We start from the raw sequence: 19194 nt of genomic DNA, 5'->3' as shown, positions 1-19194 counted from the left end.
TTGCTTACATTGTTTATATGCAGTGCCTTTTTGTTGGTAGATTTTGTCATTTTCTAGGATGATTATGAAATATATTAATAAAAACATTTTATTTTTCTTTCCAATTTGAATGAAGCTTTTTATTTTTCTTGCCTTATTGCACTGGTAAGAAGAATAAAGGAGATGAGAACATTGAATGTGATGTTAGTAGTGTAGTGTTCACAGATGCCTTTATAAATGCAGTAGAGTCCCTTCTGTTCCTAGTTGGCTGAGTATTATTGTTGTTGCTGTTGTTTTAGTCAGGAATGGATGTTGGATTTTCTCAAATACTTTTTCTGTCTCATGATCATGTTTTTTTCTTTTTTAGAATGTTAATGTGGCAAATTACATTGATTGATTTTTGAATATTAAAACAAACTTGCACTTGAGCTAGGCCCTAATTAGTTATGATGTATTATCCTTTCTATAGATTGTTGAATTCAGTTTGCTAAATTTTACTTAATATTTTTGCATTCATATGTGGAAGAGATATTGGTTTGTACTTTTAATGCTTTTGTCTTATTTTGGCGTCAGGCAAATTCTGGTCTCCTAGAATGAGTTGGGACGTATTCCCTCCATTCCAGTTTACTGGAAGTTTGTGAAGAGTTGATCTGAACCACTACCATTTCTCACCTGCATTACTGTAACAATCTCTTATCTGATCTCTCAGCATCTACCTGTCGCAGGTTGGGAATGAAATAGGCTAGTGATCATTTCCTTTATTGAACTCTGGATAAAGTACTTCTTTTTTTTTTTGAGACAGAGTCTCGCTCTGTCGCCCAGGCTGGAGTGCTGTGGCGCGATCTCGGCTCACTGCAGGCTCCACCTCCCGGGTTCACGCCATTCTCCTGCCTCAGCCTCCCGAGTAGCTGGGACAACAGGCGCCTGCCACCACACCCGGCTAATTTCTTTCTTTTTTTTTTTTTTTTTTTTTAGTAGAGACGAGGTTTCACCGTGTTAGCCAGGATGGTCTCAGTCTCCTGACCTCGTGATCCACCCGCCTCGGCCTCCCAGAGTGTTGGGATTACAGTCATGAGCCACCATGCCTGGCCTGGATAAAGTATTTCTAAACCCTAAAATGTTTATGTTTGGTTTTGTGGCTGTGGATCTAATGAAGGGACTTGCAGTCAAGTCCATTTTGAGGCCAGGAAGGCTGCCTCATTAGCACCTCATTGTGAGGCCTCTGTGTCTTCATCCACATGTGAGGCAGGCAGAAATTGTTGCCTCACCTGTAAAGCTGGATGAAGTCAAGATAGCCCCTTTTAAAAACGTTACCTTTAGGGAAGATGTTGCTTTTCTGCCAAGCATTTCACATGGATTATTTAATTTATATGGATTAATTAATTTAATCCTCACAGTAGTTAAAAAGAAAATGGAGGCATGGATAAGTTTAGCAACTTGCCCAGCTCCACAGCCAATGAGTGGGCAGTAAGACACGCTACCTCTGGCAGGTATTCAGATGTGGGAGCATGCTGCAGAGAGGCCCTACCTTACTCTCTAGCAGACTGACTTCCTGTCACATCTCCCTGTTTTTTCTTTTTTTGTATTATTTCCTGAAATTGCCTTTTTCTGTCTTCTCTGCTAGAATGCCTGAGAACATCAGTTTTATTATCCCCCTCTCTGTCCCCATGTCCCCAGTCCCTTAGAACCATTGGTAGGTGATAAGCGAATATTTGTACACTGAATTTTACTGGCTGTCAACATAAAACTATTTGAATACTGAAGGTAAAATATAAAATTGTATCATTTATTAAAAGAAAAGTAAATTTAGAGATGTTTCAGCCAGTGGGAGCTTCTGAATGGCAATCCCCTGACCTGGGGTGCCTTACTGCCATTCTCTGCTCCAGAAGAACTTGAAGGGACACCCCCGAGAAGTACCAGGCCACAGGGAGGCACTTTGCATAGAAATTTGCAGTGATGTAATTGGGATTTAGATAAGACATCATCTCTAGGGAAAAGGGTTCACCCAGGATGCCTTCTTGAGTCCTGATGACATGATAGGATTCCGGTCACTGTGCCATGTCTTTTAACTAATTATAGCAATAATTACTTAATTGATTGATGTGCTATGGTCTCTATCACAATGTGAGTAATAGTCTTAGAGGTGTCACTCCCGGGTGAGGTGTGTATGTAGGTTGTGGGATCCTGCTCTTCTTTCAGTTTTGTAGGTTTCAGTTCCAAAATTGTGGTACATCTGAAGTCAATTGGTTTCCTTCTGATATCCTTTCTCACCTTCCCTGTGTAGGAGAACTGAAGTCAGCCTTAATTTGACACAAAATGTTTCTCACCTGTGGGGTTTTGAAGGTTAAGAGGGTGAACTTATTTAAATGAACAACATATTTTTTTTTCTTTTAGGAAAAACGCAAAGCTGAGGAAGCCCTCAGTGACCTCAGACGTCAGTATGAAACTGAAGTAGGAGATCTGCAGGTGACCATTAAAAAGCTAAGAAAGGTAGGCATGTGGCAGCTGGACTTGTAGGAACAGCCTCAGCATCTCAGGGTATCTAAGCCATTAACAACCAAAAACATTTGGAATCCTATTGAAGTGGCGGATAGATCAGATTTCAGATTTGTTTTGAGACTGAGTCTTGCTCTGTCACCCAGGCTGGAGTGCAGTGGCAAGATCTTGGCTCACTGCAACCTCCGCCTCCTGGATTCAAATGATTCTCCTGTCTCAGCCTCCTGAGTAGCTGGGATTATAGGCATGCACCACCATGCCCAGCTAATTTTTGTGTTTTTAGTAGAGGCGGGTTTCACCATGTCGGCCAGGCTGGTCTCAAACTCCTGACCTCAGGTGATCCACCCACTTCAGCCTCCCAAAGTGTTGGGATTACAGGCGTGAGCCACTGTGCCCAGCCTGAAAGACCTTTTAAGGGCCCCTGAGTTCCTCTTCTGTTTCCAGGGGCCACCTGTCTTTTGCATAGATTTAATAATTATTTTCTGATCCCTTCAACCATTGTCCATAAAACTTCAGTTTGCTTTCCTTGGTCTTCACCAGCTTAGTACTCTCAAGTCCCTTGTGTCTGGTAGACTGCATGCTTCATGACTGTTTTTCTTGGTCATGTCAAATATCCCCGTGTCCCTACCCCTAGCTTATTGCAAAGTGCATGGTAAGTATTCAGGGAATATTTATTAAATGAAATGAATATTGCTCTTCTAAGTAGAAAATTCCAGATCTAGGGTACCCTGATCACCAAGAGTCACTAGTTTTTGAAGAAGAGCAGAACTTGTTGAAGTGTGAGCAAAGATGTGATTAGTTTGTTTGTTTGTTTGTTTAATGTGGTTGGTTTTTGGCTTTTCCTCTATTTGGTTTCTAATGAGCAGGTTGTTTTACTCAGTAATACTCTGGCAGTTGTTTAACAGGTGGCTCTATAGTGGGTGGAGGGGAAGGGAGGGATGTGTATCATTTGTTGATTTCCATGGTATAAATACTCCTGTCATTACTGATTTCATGCTACCAAGTTGATGTTACTGAATTTAAGGTTGAGAAGAGATGCTTAAAGCAGACTCTCACCTGCTGGTACAGGCTGGCTCCGGCACTGTACTAGACACACTTCTTGGATCTGTTTTTGTTTTTCCCATAACTAATGGGGATGTGTTAGCTAAAATGAAAATGGATAATTAAAAAAGGATCATCCTTGCTGGGCATGGTGGCTCATGTCTGTAAACCTAATACTTTGGAAAGCTGAGGCAGGAGGATTGCTTGTGCTCAGGAGGTCAAGACCAGCCTGGGTGACATAGTTGAGATCCCACCACTGCAAAAATAAATAAATAAATAAATTTTAAAAATTAACTGCATGTGGTAGCACATGCCTGTAGTCCCAGTGACTCAGGAGGCTGGGGTGGAAGGATCACTTGAAGCTGGGAGAGGAAGGCTGCAGTGAGCCATGATTATGTCAGTATCTTAAAAAAAAATAAAAAATCATCTCTGAAAGTGGTGATGAGACTAAGTGGCAATTAGCTATATTTTGTATTTTATACACTATTGCAATTTAAACCTCTGGGATGATTAAGAATTCTCCCCAGTAGCCTCCTTAGAAAATGAATATCAATTTGAACCTTATATCTAATTTTCAAAAGTTATTAGGCCATGCATACTATGCTTACATTACAGAATTGAACAGACGAATCTTCTGTTTATGCTAGAGCCACAAATTCACTGAGTCACTGCCCTGACTTATTTCTGTGGCTTCCCAAATCTTTAAAGGAATGTCTACAAGAAGAGATGCAGCGACTGATGAGGCCCAAGTGGTCTGAACAGTAAGAAAGCCCATGTGTCAGGAGACCTGAATCCTTGTCAAAACTGTACCCATTTTTCCCTGAAGCACCTCGGATAGTTCACATCATCTTTCTGATTTTTAGTTTCTGATCTATAAAATGCAATTATTAAAAAACTGTCTTTCCTAACCATAATGACTGACATTTTATTGACTTTGCAGTTCACTAAGCTCTTTTTCATGATTTAAAAAATCAAATTCTTAAACTTTCTCTGAGGAAGGTATAAATATCCTACTTTTAGAGATGAGGACTGAGTTCCAGGGAGGTTAACTAACTTGTTCAGAGTCACACAGCTAATAACTGATGAAGCCATCTTACTACACAGTTTGTGCTTTCTCACTTATTCCAGACTTCCTGCATGCCTGATGTGGTTGTTATGCAAAACAGCAAGATGTTTATTTGAGAGTGCATTAAGGGCTATAGTTTACAAATTTGTTACAATTGCCACTAACTGTGTCCTTGATTCTGAGAAACTCATTTTTTCCCGATGGTTTTTCTTCTCTGAAGTCAAAATGCGTGTTTAAATCGATGGCTTTTCTCAGTCAGAGTCAGCCTCGTGGCAGTCATGACGTTGTTATGTAAACACTATCCCTTTATAGCATCTGGCAAGGTGAAGAAGGTCCAGAATCAAAGCACTTAGACTTCGTGAAATGTGGGATCCATTTTGATCAGTGCATAAACATTCCAATAATGAATACCAACAGATCCCTACCATTCCCAGAGGATGTAAGCTGTTTGTAGGAAAGGCATTTTGTTGTTGTTGTTGTTGTTGTTGTTCTCCAGGTTATAAATGTGTGGAACCAATTTAGTCTGGTAATTGTAACGAGTTTGTAGTTGCAATAGAAATGAGTCAACCAGCAAGCAAAGCTCATGTAGAAATGAGTTAATCATCAAGCAAAGCTTAAATGTAGGTATATATAATCAAGTGTGTTTGTGTCTCTAGCTTCCTGTTATACTCAGATTTTATTGATTTTAGTTATTTAATAAGCATTTCTTAAACTCACCATGAAGAAAACATAGGTGAATCTGACACTAATTCTGCTCTTAAAAAATCTTGCTCTGTAGCAGGGAAGGTAAGACATTTCTAAATAATTGTAATACAGAATGGAAAGTGTTAAATGCAGATAATACGAAGGAGAATAAAAAGATCCAGATTCTAATGTAGCATAACTGAAAAAAGCAAGAACTGGATTGCTTAATAGTTGAATGATTTCCAAAAAAGGCTTTTCAGCTGTTTCCAAAAAAGTTCATTTCACAACAAAACCCCTTTTTCAAATGTTTAAATTATTTAGAACAAAATTTCAAATCCTTATGGATTTTATGTAGTTTAATGATTTATGAAGTTGCATAATGTTGAAAATTGGTGACTTCTAGAATTCTCATATGTATATTCAAGGATAGTCCTAAACTTAACCAAAGCAATTCAAAGTGAGTTTGTAAGCACACAACTTTTATTTGGTCTTTCAGCTCGAAGAACAATCAAAACGCGTAAGTCAAAAGGAAGATGTGGCTGCATTGAAAAAACAAATTTATGATTTATCAATGGTAAGAATTACCTTTTCACTTACAGAAATGCACTTCCTGTTAGACCACATCCTCATGCTCTTATTTCAGTGTTCCAGGAAGAGCAGCTTAAAGGGAAGTTAATACTGTAGTTAGAAAAAGTCCTTAAAATAACTTTGATCAAAGATACTATTTATGCAGGCTTTTCCCTCAATAATATGCCACTTATTGTGAAAGCTTTTACTTATTTTTCATACAAAGTAATAAAGACCTAGTGCTTACATTTTATGTAACACAGTTAACCCTGTGTTCTTCCAACATCAGCTCTGGTCTGTATTCCTGGCTTAGTGATGAGGATATTAGTGCCTTGCCCCTTCCTCCAAGTTTTTTTTTTTTCTGTCGCTTTTCCATCTTACGCCAGCCACATCTACTTTTAGTACTAACAAAATTGGTAACATTTACATATCTTCTGTTATGAGTTTTATTTAGTTTGGTTTTAGATTAACTCTCAAATTTGAAAGCAGATAAAGAGCATTTTCTTTCTTATGATTCTAAATATTTTCACTGCAGAGCTAAGAAATGAGTGAGGCTTGCATTTCTTTCTCTCCATTTATTATCTCTGATCCACTTAGAAGGTTCCCAGCTTCATGGTCAAATGAATTCCTAGTTCCAGATTTTTCCACATCTTAGTAGGCTTTGTATTTGGATAATGACATTCTTGTAGAGTTATTTGTTTTTCTTGGATTTTCTGGTTGATTTTTTTGGTTTCTTCTTGCAAAAAGCACTACCATTTTCATGATATCACTGATACCTTAAGACTTATTTAGTCTTTCCAATGCATGAAATTTGTTTAGTTTTTCTCCTTGAAAATATTAATTTTGGAGTCTATAAAATTTCAGTTTTTTTTTTTTTTTTTTTTTTTTTTGAGATGGAGTCTTGCTCTGTCACCAGGCTGGACTACAGTGGCACGATCTTGGCTCACTGCAACCTCCATCTCCTGGGTTCAAGTGATTCTCCTGCCTCAGCCTCCCAAGTAGCTGGAACTATAGATGCGCACCACCACGCCCCGCTAAATTTTTGAGTTTTAATAGAGACAGGGTTTCACCGTGTTGGCCAGGGTGGTCTCAATCTCTTGACCTCATGATCACCCGCTTTGGCCTCCCAAAGTGCTGGGATTATAGGCGTGAGCCACCGCACCTGGCAAAATTTCAGTTCTTATTGGACTGATTGTTTTTTAAACTTGCCACCCATATGTTCTGCAATTTCTTTTCACTAGGCCTTTCACTGAATTGCAGCATTTTGCATATTACAATTTTTTGGGAGGAGAGGGTTTCATCCTCATTTCGGCATAGCACATCCTCAAGAAACTTCTTCAGAAAGAACATGTGAGAGAGAAATTTTCTGTTTTTGAATATTTGAGAATGTCTACATTCCCCCTCACAATTTATTAAGTTTGTTTAGATAAATAGGCTTTTTTGGGACTCCTCTGTGATTTATTAATTTAATTATTTCTAGGTACCATTTTTTTTCAACTACCTGGCAGTTGTTGGTGATCTGTTCATATTTTAAAATGAAGGACTAGCTTGGTCACTTAAGGTAGCTGGTGTAGGATCCTGTGGGACGGTGTGAACAGATATGCTCACCTGAAGGCCTTTCTCCCGAGAGAGTGTCTTCCAAGGAGCTCTGTGTGTGAAGCTGGCAGGGGACCCCAGTTACCGGTGTGAGTGGGGCAGGGATATTCAGAGAGAAGCCTTAGCTTTTTTTACAGGAGCCACTTAGTTTTAAAAAGATAATCTCTGCCTTGTCTTCAGAATCCACTCTGGCTCTCTGCTGTTACTTGCTAGGGTAAGATAGGGAATGGGCTTGGTGGGAAGGGTGGCTTACTATACAGTTTTAATCTCTCTTTCCAACCCCATATCTGGTTCTGTCTTTCTGGGGTTCGGCCCGGTCACTTGTCTCCTTCTGGATTCTGTGTCAAAACCTTAAACACACTTCCTCTAATCTTCCATTTCCCCACTCTGTTCCCTTTGGCAACACATTTCCATCAGTTTCCACTTTCTAGAAGTGCATTTAAGTCACTTGAATGCTCTGGGCTGCTCTTCCATTCTTTTAACTGTTATTGGTTCATTTCCTTTGGCATTTCATTTTAGTGAGGTTTTGGAAGGGGAAAAAGACAAATTCATGTGCTCCATCCACCATCTTGAACGAATGTCTCCAATATTATTTTAAGAAAATACAGAAATTTTCAAATCACACTGGTTTATTTTTAAGTGTAAAACTTAAAATATTAAGTGATGGAATTTATTTGTAAAAAGTAGCCAGTGTACCTGGTAATAGGTACTGTTGATTCCACAAAATGTTTATCAATAATTTTAAAGCGCTCATTAAATAAAGCAAGCATTCGAATGGTTGGTGTCAGTTAATTTGCCAATAATGTGTTGAAATACATCATGATAAACCCTTGACTGTTGTAGTTTGGTGTCAAATATCAAGCATAAAAAAATGAAGAATGACTTTGAGGGTTTTGATTTTTGACACTTTATTAATTTATATTGATTTCAAATTACCTTGAATTGACAAATAGTTGTTTGAACACTGAGATTTTGAAGAGTTGTGGAAGGGTGAGAGTGGTGTGGGAGGGTGACAGGACACTTTACTTCATTTCTCCCAGGCAGAGGAAAATCTGAATCTAATGACCCCCACTTTTCATTTTATCCAGGAAAACCAGAAAGTTAAGAAAGACCTTTTAGAAGCACAGACAAACATAGCCTTTCTTCAGAGTGAGTTAGATGCTTTGAAAAGTGATTATGCTGATCAGAGTCTGAATACTGAAAGGTATGAACTTTGCATTTTATTTGTTAGTTTGAGTAGAATATTGAGATGATCATCCAGGCAAAAGAAGCTCAGCTATGGAATAATGAAGAGTTAGTAACTTTGCTAATATCTTCTTTACTTTCTAATGATTTTATTTTCAGTATCAGGTTTCCTAGTGTTTTTTATGTTTTTAATTTTTTAAGCAAATAGAATAATTATTGTCTGTTTTGGCTAGTGCAGGGCTTAATAAATGTTTGAATTAACTGGGAGCTAAAAGAATATACCACAGTGTCAAGGGTTAGTACTTATTAAAGTGTTTTGAAGTCAGGAATCCTGGCCATAAAACATAAGAAAGGGAAAAGTAGGCAAGTCTATTTTCGTGTGTGTTAGTTTTGCAGTATGGTGTTAATACCATAAAACCTAATACACATACATACATTCACAGACACGTATTTATATATAAGGAACATAGACATGTATATTTTTATATGGATGGTAAATATAAAATGCATAGATATGTGTATATGTGTGTATCCCCTAGGACATGTACACTTGGGAAAAATATCTTTTTTTGGGTTTGTTTGCAAACTTTAATCAGAATTAAGGTCTTACAAGAGAAAACAGTGAAATATTATCGTTTACTACATACAAGTCTCTGAACTAGATAAGGAGTTATGAGTGGAGAGTATATATATATTTATAATCTCAAAACACAGAGCCCACGTCATATATATATATATATATATATATATATATATATATATATATATGATGAGAACTTCAAATTTAGTTGGGAAAAAAAGCAAAAAGATTATAGGGTTTAACAACAGAAGAGCTAAAAAATATCAGAAGTAGTGCCACTAACGTAGTCATGGTTTGGGTTAATTGCTGTGTGATCACAGAAAAGGTTTTGTTTTAGTTCAGAAGAGGTGAAGAACTGTATTGAAGAGGTGATGCTGGAGGTGAGCCTAGGTAGAAAGATAGCTCTGTGCTGGGAAAGGGGAGAGAGGCAGCCAGGATGGCAACATCAGCAACTCAGAGCTGGTGGCACTGCTGCCTGCCAGGCACTGTCCTGGTCCTTCGCAAGCATTAACTGATCCAGTCCACAGAACATCTGGTGAGACAGGGACCTTCATTATGTCCATTTTACAGATGGGAAAAGAGAGTCTCAGAGATGTTCCAGGTAAGGCAGTAACCAAAGCAGGGACCAGAACATAGGGAAGGATACGGCTTGGGGAAAGGTGGTCAGACCACAGGGCAGAAAGAGACATTTTGAATAGAAAAGCAAAAGTTTAAAAAAAAAATTAAAAAGTTTAAAAGCTAGTTTAAGGTTATCATAGAAGGCCCCCGAATTTTGGTTTAAGGAACTTAAATTCCTATAGACAATTAGGAAATGTGTACTTTTATCATCCAGGGAGCAGATGGACAGGTTATTGTGAACCAAACTTGATAGCCTGGGCATTTTGGGAAGCTAGTGATGAGGTTTGTATGCTCAGGGGAATAGGGGCTGGAGGAGAGGGCCAGTGTTCTGAGCAGTTTGGGGAAGAAGCCAGAGCTTCCATCATAAAGCAACAGAGGGATTGCCACAGAATGAGTGTCTCACGAGCTTAGCAAGCCTGGTTCTTTGGGGATCTCTGTGGTTTAGGTAAGGAGAGGAGGGAGAGCAGGAGTAGTGTGAGATGGAAAGAGGAAGGAATCACAGGAAAGGAGAAAATAGATGGAGTTGGGATTATATAAGGCTTTAGATGAGCAGGGAAGGTTCAGAGGATTGAAGGCACAGTTTCTGAGACACCCTTAGAAGAGACTCAGGAGGTTCAGCCCTCGTGGAGAACAGAGCTGGGTCAGCGAGCATGGGGATGGAAGAGCTGGTGGTTGCTGAGATGGGCTGAGGAGGAGAAGCTCTAGGCTTGTGATGTCGGAGGCGGGGCAGAGACTCACAGGAGAAAGCACAGGATGTGAGTGTGTTTGTGGAGTCGCAGAAGGAGAGGAGGCTGCTGAGGCCACAGAGGCCCAGAGCAGGAGCACGGGAAAGATAGAAAACTGTGGCCAAGGACACTCGTCTTTGAAAAAGGTGGGAAAGGGTCTGGGAGGGTAGGTATACGTGAGGCAGGACTTGACACCTAATTCTCACTCAAACATAAAATACAATTTTACAGGGATCTGGAAATAATCCGAGCATACACAGAAGATCGAAATAGTCTTGAGAGGCAAATTGAAATACTCCAGTAAGTCCGCAGATCAAATGCTCATTACATTTACATTTCACTTGTTTTTTAGTTAATAAAAGACATAACACATAGAACGTGAGTTGCCATGTTCTGAACACTGGGTTTGCAGGTCAGTGGGTGTTTCTTCTCAGGGTGTGCACTTGGCATCTCCTCTTAGCTTTCTGATGCTTATAATCCTAAATAAATTATTCAGATGTGGGAATAGAGTATAAATCTCTAAACATCTTGGGAAGTCAGGGGATATGTCCAGTGTGTCTTTATTATGCCTCTATAAAGAAAAATGGCCCTGAGCACTCAGCTTTCTCTGAGTTCTGTACCGTGAGTTTTTTTTTTTTTTTTTGAGACAGAGTCTTGCCCTGTCACCCAGGCTGAAGTGCAGTGGTGCAATCTCGGCTCACTGCAAGCTCTGCTTCCTGGGTTCATGCCATTCTTCTGCCTCAGCCTCCTGAGTAGCTGGGACTACAGGCACCCGCCACCAGGCCCAGCTAATTTTTGTATTTTTTTAGTAGAGACGGCATTTTACCTTGTTAGCCAGGATGGTCTCGATCTCCTGACTTTGTGATCCTCCCGCCTCGGCCTCCCAAAGTGCTGGGATGACAGGCATGAGCCACCACGCCCGGCCCGTACCCTGAGTTTTTGAGGCTTCTCTTGTTAGTGGGGCCACAGGGTTCTGCCTCCACAATTCTTTCTCAGTTTGTTTTGTTTACTTAGAAGTATATTTTTCTTAGGTTTTTTTCCCTCTCCCCAAGTAGAAATATACCCACTCTGTCAGCTTTATGACTAGGTTATAGCAGTTCCATCCTCTGAAGGTCTTCCCCACAAAACCTACCCCTCTCCTTCCCCTTTCTTTTCTACCCATGCTGCATTGTCTTCTGGTTTCAGTTCCCCTCAATGAAGTCAGGTCAGGTTTGACCTTTTTTTTTTTCACCATTTTTGAATGCTTATTAAGTCTCACCTGTGGCAGTTGTAGAGTTCATGTATTTCAGTAATCCTTCAAGTTATTTTATTTATTCATTCATTCAACAGATTTGTCAGCACCTCTTACAGGCCAGGTATGCCAGGAGCAAAGGATAGAGTGGGAAGTGGGTGAAAAATCTCTTTCCCCTTATGGGGCTAGTTTAGGGGAAGAAGACAGAAATGGATCAATAATCATAGAAATAAATATAAAAGGCCAAACAAGAGAGATGCAGCAAAAGAAAGGTACATGTCCCCTAAGGGGAGCATTGGCCTATCAAAGAAGGTCAAGGAAGTGTTCTGGAGGAAGTGAGGATTGAGCTAAGATGCGAAGGGTGAACCAGCCTTAAGCTGGGGAAGGTTAGCCACTCTGTGGTGTAGGAGCTGTGGAATCATAGCTTTGCTGTACAAGAGGGCGCTGAAGCTCTGACAGCTTGAATGACTTCTGTTAAGTCATATGGAAATAAGAGTTAGGATTTGAACCCAGACCTGACTGAGATCATCACCCAAGTGTTTACCTGCTACACGACGGTACCTGGTGGAACAGTGCCAGGCTGTGCATAGAATGCAGGAGCTGCCAGGAGCATGAAGCCTGATATAACACACTGCGTTCATCCCTGACCTCTGAAATGTGGTAACTGGCTGGCCAGGTTCAGGCATTTAGGGAGCTTTGAAAGACCTGCATGAAATCTGTTCAATCAGCGGGGCTACCTTAAGGAAGAGTGAGTTCCACAGCATAGACAGTTGATTCCTGCAAGGCCCTGAGACCTTTAAAGAGAGAGGAGTAATCAATTTAGTTCTTGTACTTTAAGTAATGAATTATCTCAGTTTTTGAGGTTTGAAGGGAAGTGGTGGAAAGTTGCAGAAGATGATAAGCTATTCCACATTCTGAATGTTACAGCTAGAAAAGAAAGTGATGACAGTGACCCCCAATGATACTTTCCTTGTCTCTCTTTCTGCTTGTTTCTTTACCCTGCAGAACAGCTAACCGGAAGCTACATGACAGTAATGATGGCCTTAGAAGTGCCCTTGAAAACAGTTATAGCAAGTTCAACAGATCTTTGGTATGCCACATAGTTTTACCATGTATTTCATTCTTTCTAGTGGTGGAGTATTTTGGTGTTGATGAAAATAATGTAATTTCTTAAAGGAGAGCCTCAAGTAAGTCCTTATAATAATGAGAAGATCTTTCCATAAAATAAAACGAGGCAGCATTTTTCCAAATTAAAAAATATGCTACTCCTCTGAAGAAATAAGTGTCTCAATGTTAACCAACTCTTTTTATAGATGTTCTAGGAATCTAGAGATAGGTGTGTAAGATGGGATCTTTGGCCTGAAAGAGTTTAGACTTGTGAGTATTCTTTATGCCAGTGAGATGCTCAGAATGGGAGCCTTGGATTTCAAACCCTCCTACAGAAATCAGCTTAGCTCATTTGGAACTTTAAGGACCTCTCCCAGACTGCATTTGTCATAAGACCTCTTATCCCACTTTTGGAAGTCAGCTTCATGTGTAAGATTCCAGGGTCGTATTGGGATATGGAGGAGTCAGTCACTAAGCCAAATTATGGTTCAAGAAGAGACACATTCAAGGAAGTTGAGTTGCAGGATCCTGGCAAAGTGGGGAACCATAGTACTCCTTTATGGAATATGCAGTAGGGTTTGGACGTAAGATAGGATGAGGAGGAGAGCGTACTATGGCAGTCATCTTCGTTGCAATGTTTCCCTTGATTTTTTGCTCACATTTGCTCAGGTAGTGTAACAAACTTTTAGTTACATTAGAAGTTTGAGTAGTGTGCTACAGTTTTAAAAAATGGGTTTGTGTGTACCTATGTGTATATAAAATGTTTACATGAAAATTACATGAACTAACAAATGATTACTTCTATATTACAGCATATAAATAATATCTCACCAGGGAATACAATTTCTAGAAGCAGTCCCAAATTCATTGGTCATTCCCCTCAACCTCTAGGCTATGACAGGTATGTTAACTCGTCTTAACTTTCTGTTCAAGTTCAGAATCACAGTTAAAAGGAAAGTAAATTTCCTTGGAGGTGGATTAAAATAATAGAATATACTTTGGTCACTAATTTATATTTTCTATGATGTTAAAAGTTCTGAAACATGAATCATGTAAAAATTAAAAGTGTTTCAGAGAGGGCAAAGTTATTTCCTGAAGATGTTATGAGTTAGTTTTATATATGCTCATCATTACCTCATCTCTAATCATGTCTTGTTTCTTAGAAGCAGACTCAATAAGAGATGTTTCAGGGAAACCAGCAGAATTATAGTATATGATGCTGCAGTGTTTCTGGTATATAATGTTGAAACTATTGGCATGATCTGTAAATATTTAATAGCTCAGCATAATATTATATGAGCTATGTTGCAGAAAAGGGAAACTCTCAAAGCAAATATAAATATCACTAGTAGATCCTTGTAAAATAGCTACTGTATTGAAGGAGTCACAGAGGCTTGCCAAAAGTTAGAATTTAGCCTTGTGTTTAATCAAATGAACTGAAATATTAGGCCTTTTATTACTTGAGACCTAGTAATCACTTAGAGATTACATGAGTGTATGTGTATGTTTATACACATATGTCCAGTGTTGCTAGTTAATTTAGTAATATGTCAAAAATTTGAAATTAGAAGTGAAAGCATAAACAAAAAGTTTCCGACTCTCTATTTCTTTGTGACTTTCAGATTCACGTTCATCCCCTTTTCATTTGGGTACTTTTGATAAAAAGAATAATGTACTTAACATCCTGGTGTTAGAAATGGTCAGGTTGCCATTTAGGAAGACCTGTTACGAAGGCTTATTGGTGATCATTTCTAAGAAAATTGTATCAGGTTTAAGTGGTTTCTACTGTTCACTGATTAGCTCAATAAAAAAATTTAATGGCTTGATTTATAGATGGCTGACTATTCTGTTATTGAGAAATAATCGATTTTTAAAAATGTGTAGGTGTGATGTCATTTTTGACTAATATTTAAAACTGATTCTAAGCAAATTGGGGGGAAAGGTATACAACTGAAAAGTATTTCAGAAATTTCACCATGATTCATTTTGGAAAGATTAGACACCATGAAAGCCTCATAAGAACTGGAGTAGAGCTCATCAACGAAAGATTCTAGGGGACAAAGTCATCACGTCCCCAGCATGTTTGAGTGACGTAGCACTCATGTGCCTACCTCCTTGAGCTGTAATGAGAGGCCACCGTAGCCTCAACACCATGCCCCTTCTGGGTGTGTGTGGGGGGGTGATTATTTTGACATAAGAAGATAACATTTTATTTTCTTTTTGATGCTAATATAAAAATGTAATAAAAGCATGTTGTACATCAGATTAGATGTACAATAAAATTGTATTGTTTTTATAGCTTTATTTGGTTTTAACTTTAAAATTTATTTTGGCTTTGTTCTTCGCAAGAACTCTAACAAAGATTTAATTTGTTTTGTACTTTTACATAGTTAATTATAATGAAATTATTGAGTGTTGGCAAGATGGTTGACTTTGAAAAGGATATGCAGTTCAATTGAGTTTGAGAAAGTTTGACCTGTACCTATGTTTTTATTTTTACTTTTAAAAATTTTCAACTTTTATTTAAGATTCAGGGGGTACATGCACAGATTTGTTACATGAGTATATTGCATAATGCTGAGTGTGCCTATATTTTCAATTTAGAGTCTAGATGTTTATTCAGGTGAATTCTTAATTCAGAACTTGATGTTTTCTTTGCTCCTTGTCAAAATACAAGTAGGCTTAAAATAAATCATAACCAGTAATGAAGACATGGAACTGAAGTAGTTTGTAGTATATTATAATTAGAATGGTTTTCTTATGTGCTTTATAGATGGACCTAAAATCAGTTTCAGAAGGAGAGTTTTATAAATAATGCAATAATATATTGGCAATATATTTTCATTGTTATTGTTATTAATAGTATATATTAACAATAAATAAATATTAAAATATATTAACAATATATTTTATTGTTATTGTTATTAACAGTATATTAACACACACACGCACACATGCACACACGTAGCTAGCTATATAGATTGAGTTATGATATAAAATTCTTGGCTCAGAATAAAGACTTTGTAATTGAGCAGTATTGAGAGAGAGAAAGTTAGTTACATCATCTTTTTAATTAATTTTAAACATTTGCTAATGGCATAAAAATACTTTTGACTTCTCAGATTTACATGGCTCACACTTAATTATATTAAGCTTACCTTCTCTCATCTAAGCATATCCACTTCTTGTTTCTCATATCTGAAGACCTATGTATCGTGCCCATTCTCCCTTTCCAATGATTCGTGTAAGCAAATTGGTAGGGTGGTGCCCAGGGTGTAGTGGGTGGTAAATAAGTCATAACCATAATTGGTAAACTTAGATTCTTATGGAAATCAAATGGAAAAGCTAAAGTAAACAGGAATGTATACAGTTTCTTATGATTCTCTTATTTGATGTGAATTTCTCCCTCACTTATAAAATCTTCAGAGTTTCACTAATGGTAAGATCTATAGAAGTCAGGAGTTCCAGCCTTTATCTGAGGCACCTCCCTCCCTATGAAACGTCTCCCAGAGGGGTGTTTCCAGACGGTGTGTCAACATTTAGTGGCAGAAAACTTACGTGTCAAATCATACATTCCAGTCATGTTTCTAATTGCTTATTTTTATCAGATGTTTCTAATTGCCTATCATTTTTTGCCATGTTGATTAGAAATATGACACCCAGAAAAGCTTATCTTATTTTGTCTTGTGCAACCTGAGAGGATGTGGTCTTCTTCATGTATCAGCTCTTCAAGTATTTGAAGAGAGAAACCATTAAGAGTTAAGTTGAGTACACTGAATCTTATTTTTCAGCTCTGAGGGTCTTGAGTCTGACATTGTGGTTGCCTTTTCTGTTTGGGCTCTCAGCAGCCCTTTTAAGTAGAGATGTTATCCAGAAATGGACACAATGTTCAGAATATGGTCTGACCACCTTAGAGTAAAAAAGCTCATATATTCTGCATACATTTTTATGAATACAACTTGCGATTGTGTTTATGTCTTAGGTACTCTAATTCTTTTTGTATCAGGAAATAAAGAACATTATTTTTTTAATGGCTTTGTTTGTTAAGTGTTTGATGTAAGGTTCTTTATCTTAACTGATTGCTGCATAGAATGAACTGATGGTGCTTTGAGCATTTTATTTCCCCTAATGCCTAATCATGAAATAACACTGCGGCTCTTAGCCACAGTCGGCCTACTTGATTCCATCTAATGGCATGTGGTCTATTGCCTGTATGTTCTTGAGCATTTCCAGCCCTCAGGTAAATTGGTCTTCCCCTTTATTACCAGGTCATCCCGCTCTTCCTATGTGGATGAGGACTGTGACTCCCTGGCCCTCTGTGATCCTCTGCAGAGGACAAATTGTGAAGTTGACAGCCTGCCTGAAAGCTGCTTCGACAGCGGCTTGTCTACCTTGAGAGATCCCAATGAGTATGACTCAGAAGTGGAATACAAGCACCAGAGGGGATTTCAGAGGTCACACGGGGTGCAGGAGAGCTTTGGAGGTGATGCTTCAGACACAGATGTAAGCCCCAGAAACCACTGCTCTCCTAGGCCTTCTACGTGATTGAAATCTGTCACCTTATTTGCCTTCTATCTGTCATGGAAATCTGTTTTAAAGGTCATAGATGTAAAGCATAGTTAGTAAAATGCTTTTTCCTCCACAGAGTTAGGGAGAAATTCTCATAGATTGCCATTCAGTGTCACTCTATTCCCTAATATTAATAGCATTGACTGTTGATTTAGCTGCATAGTTTTCTTCTTTTTAATCCATAATGTATACATTTTAGACTTTGTATTTTAACTGCTGACATTTTTTAATTTAACTGCTGACATTTTAAAAAAAATAGGTTCCTGACATAAGGGATGAAGAGACATTTGGTTTAGAAGATGTGGCTTCCGTCTTAGACTGGAAGCCCCAAGGGTCTGTTAGTGAAGGCAGCATTGTTAGTTCATCAAGAAAGCCCATCTCAGCACTCTCGCCCCAGGTAGGTGGTCTCCGAGACACTCCTATTCATGAACACTGCTTATTTTCTGTGCAGTGTTACTTATTAGGATGAAAACTGGCAATACCGTTATCATTCACTGTGGCTTTTCCCCCCAGACAGACCTGGTAGATGACAACGCTAAATCTTTTAGCTCACAGAAGGCTTACAAGATTGTACTTGCTGGGGACGCTGCAGTGGGGAAGTCTAGTTTCCTCATGAGACTTTGCAAGAATGAATTTCGAGAAAATATAAGCGCCACCCTGGGTATGGCTCGTATTTCGGTTGATAATGGGAAAATGACCTTCCTTAGCTTGATTTTCTCTTCTTCAGGGATTACATACACAGATGCTCAGTTAACAGTTTTCTCTTTCTCTGTGTATGCACACATATATAAATGTGTGTGTGTGTGTGTGTGTGTGTGTGTGTGTGTGTGTGTGTGTGTGTGTGTCTCCTAGTCTATGGAAAGGTCTTTCTTGTTTTGGCCAAGGCCTGCTTTTAGGAAAGGAAGATTAAAATGACAGAGATATCTGGCTGGGTGCGGTGGTTCATGCCTGTAATCCCAGCACTTTGGGAGGCCGAGCCAGGCAGATCACTTGAGGTCAGGAGTTCAAGACCAGCCTGGCCAACATGGCGAAACCCCATCTCTACCAAAAATACAAAAATTAGTTGGGCATGCTGGTGGGTGCTGGTTGTCCCAGCAACTCGGGAGGCTGAGGCTGGAGAGTCGCTTGAACCTGGGAGGCGGAGGTTGCAGTGAGCCGAGATCACACCACTGCACTTCAGCCTGGGTGATAGAGTGAGACCCTGCCACAAAAAAAAAAAAAGAGAGATATCTGCTTAGCCAATCAGATGAATTGAATCAAATTTAGATCCTGAGATATCAGATTCATTTATTCAGCATGTATTTCCTGAGTCCCACTAAAAACAAGATGCTGTTGTAGGTACAAACGATACACCATGAAGAAGGCTGACAATCCCAGCCTGCACTGCACTTACATCCCAGTGGAGGGAAAAGGTACAAAAAAGAAGTTTAGGGAGAGGTGCGGTTTTACGCAGGGTGGCCAGGAAAACCCTTTCTGCTGAAGTATTTGATGTTGACAAAGTGACAATATGGATTGCCACTTTGTCATTATGGTCAAAATCATAGCCAGATATATGATCCGTTACCCACCTTCACAACAGAACAATAGAACAAGTAGTATCCTGATTTCCCAAATTTGCATAATAGTAAAAGGAGTTGAAGATATGCAAATTATCATTTATTTTTCTTCTTCGTCTAAAGAGTTCTTATTTTGATCACCCGAAATGTTAGAACAGACTGATTGTCCTCTTCACATGAGTGTCTTTGTAAAT

At 38.8% G+C, this 19194-nt stretch overlaps 1 protein-coding gene across 5 annotated transcripts in view; it reads left to right on the top strand.

The window, feature by feature from the left end:
• The window catches only part of RASEF (RAS and EF-hand domain containing), a 239635-nt gene that overhangs the window by 200951 nt on the left and 19490 nt on the right, over window positions 1-19194 (top strand). For 3 of the 5 annotated variants that reach the window (XM_047422827.1, NM_152573.4, XM_005251731.5), the window contains 9 exons: window positions 2374-2469; window positions 5763-5840; window positions 8518-8633; window positions 10769-10837; window positions 12774-12858; window positions 13688-13776; window positions 17144-17378; window positions 17704-17841; window positions 17958-18105. In XM_047422827.1, the coding sequence (XP_047278783.1) occupies window positions 2374-2469; window positions 5763-5840; window positions 8518-8633; window positions 10769-10837; window positions 12774-12858; window positions 13688-13776; window positions 17144-17378; window positions 17704-17841; window positions 17958-18105 (1054 nt within the window). The remainder of the gene's footprint in view (window positions 1-2373; window positions 2470-5762; window positions 5841-8517; window positions 8634-10768; window positions 10838-12773; window positions 12859-13687; window positions 13777-17143; window positions 17379-17703; window positions 17842-17957; window positions 18106-19194) is intronic. The other 2 variants (XM_005251730.5, XM_047422826.1) reach the window with 1 other exon arrangement.

Source organism: Homo sapiens, chromosome 9 (assembly GCF_000001405.40).
Source record: "Homo sapiens chromosome 9, GRCh38.p14 Primary Assembly".
NCBI lineage: Eukaryota > Metazoa > Chordata > Mammalia > Primates > Hominidae > Homo > Homo sapiens.
The sequence above is the reverse complement of the archived record's forward strand: the minus strand, read 5'-3'. Positions and strand labels throughout refer to the sequence as shown.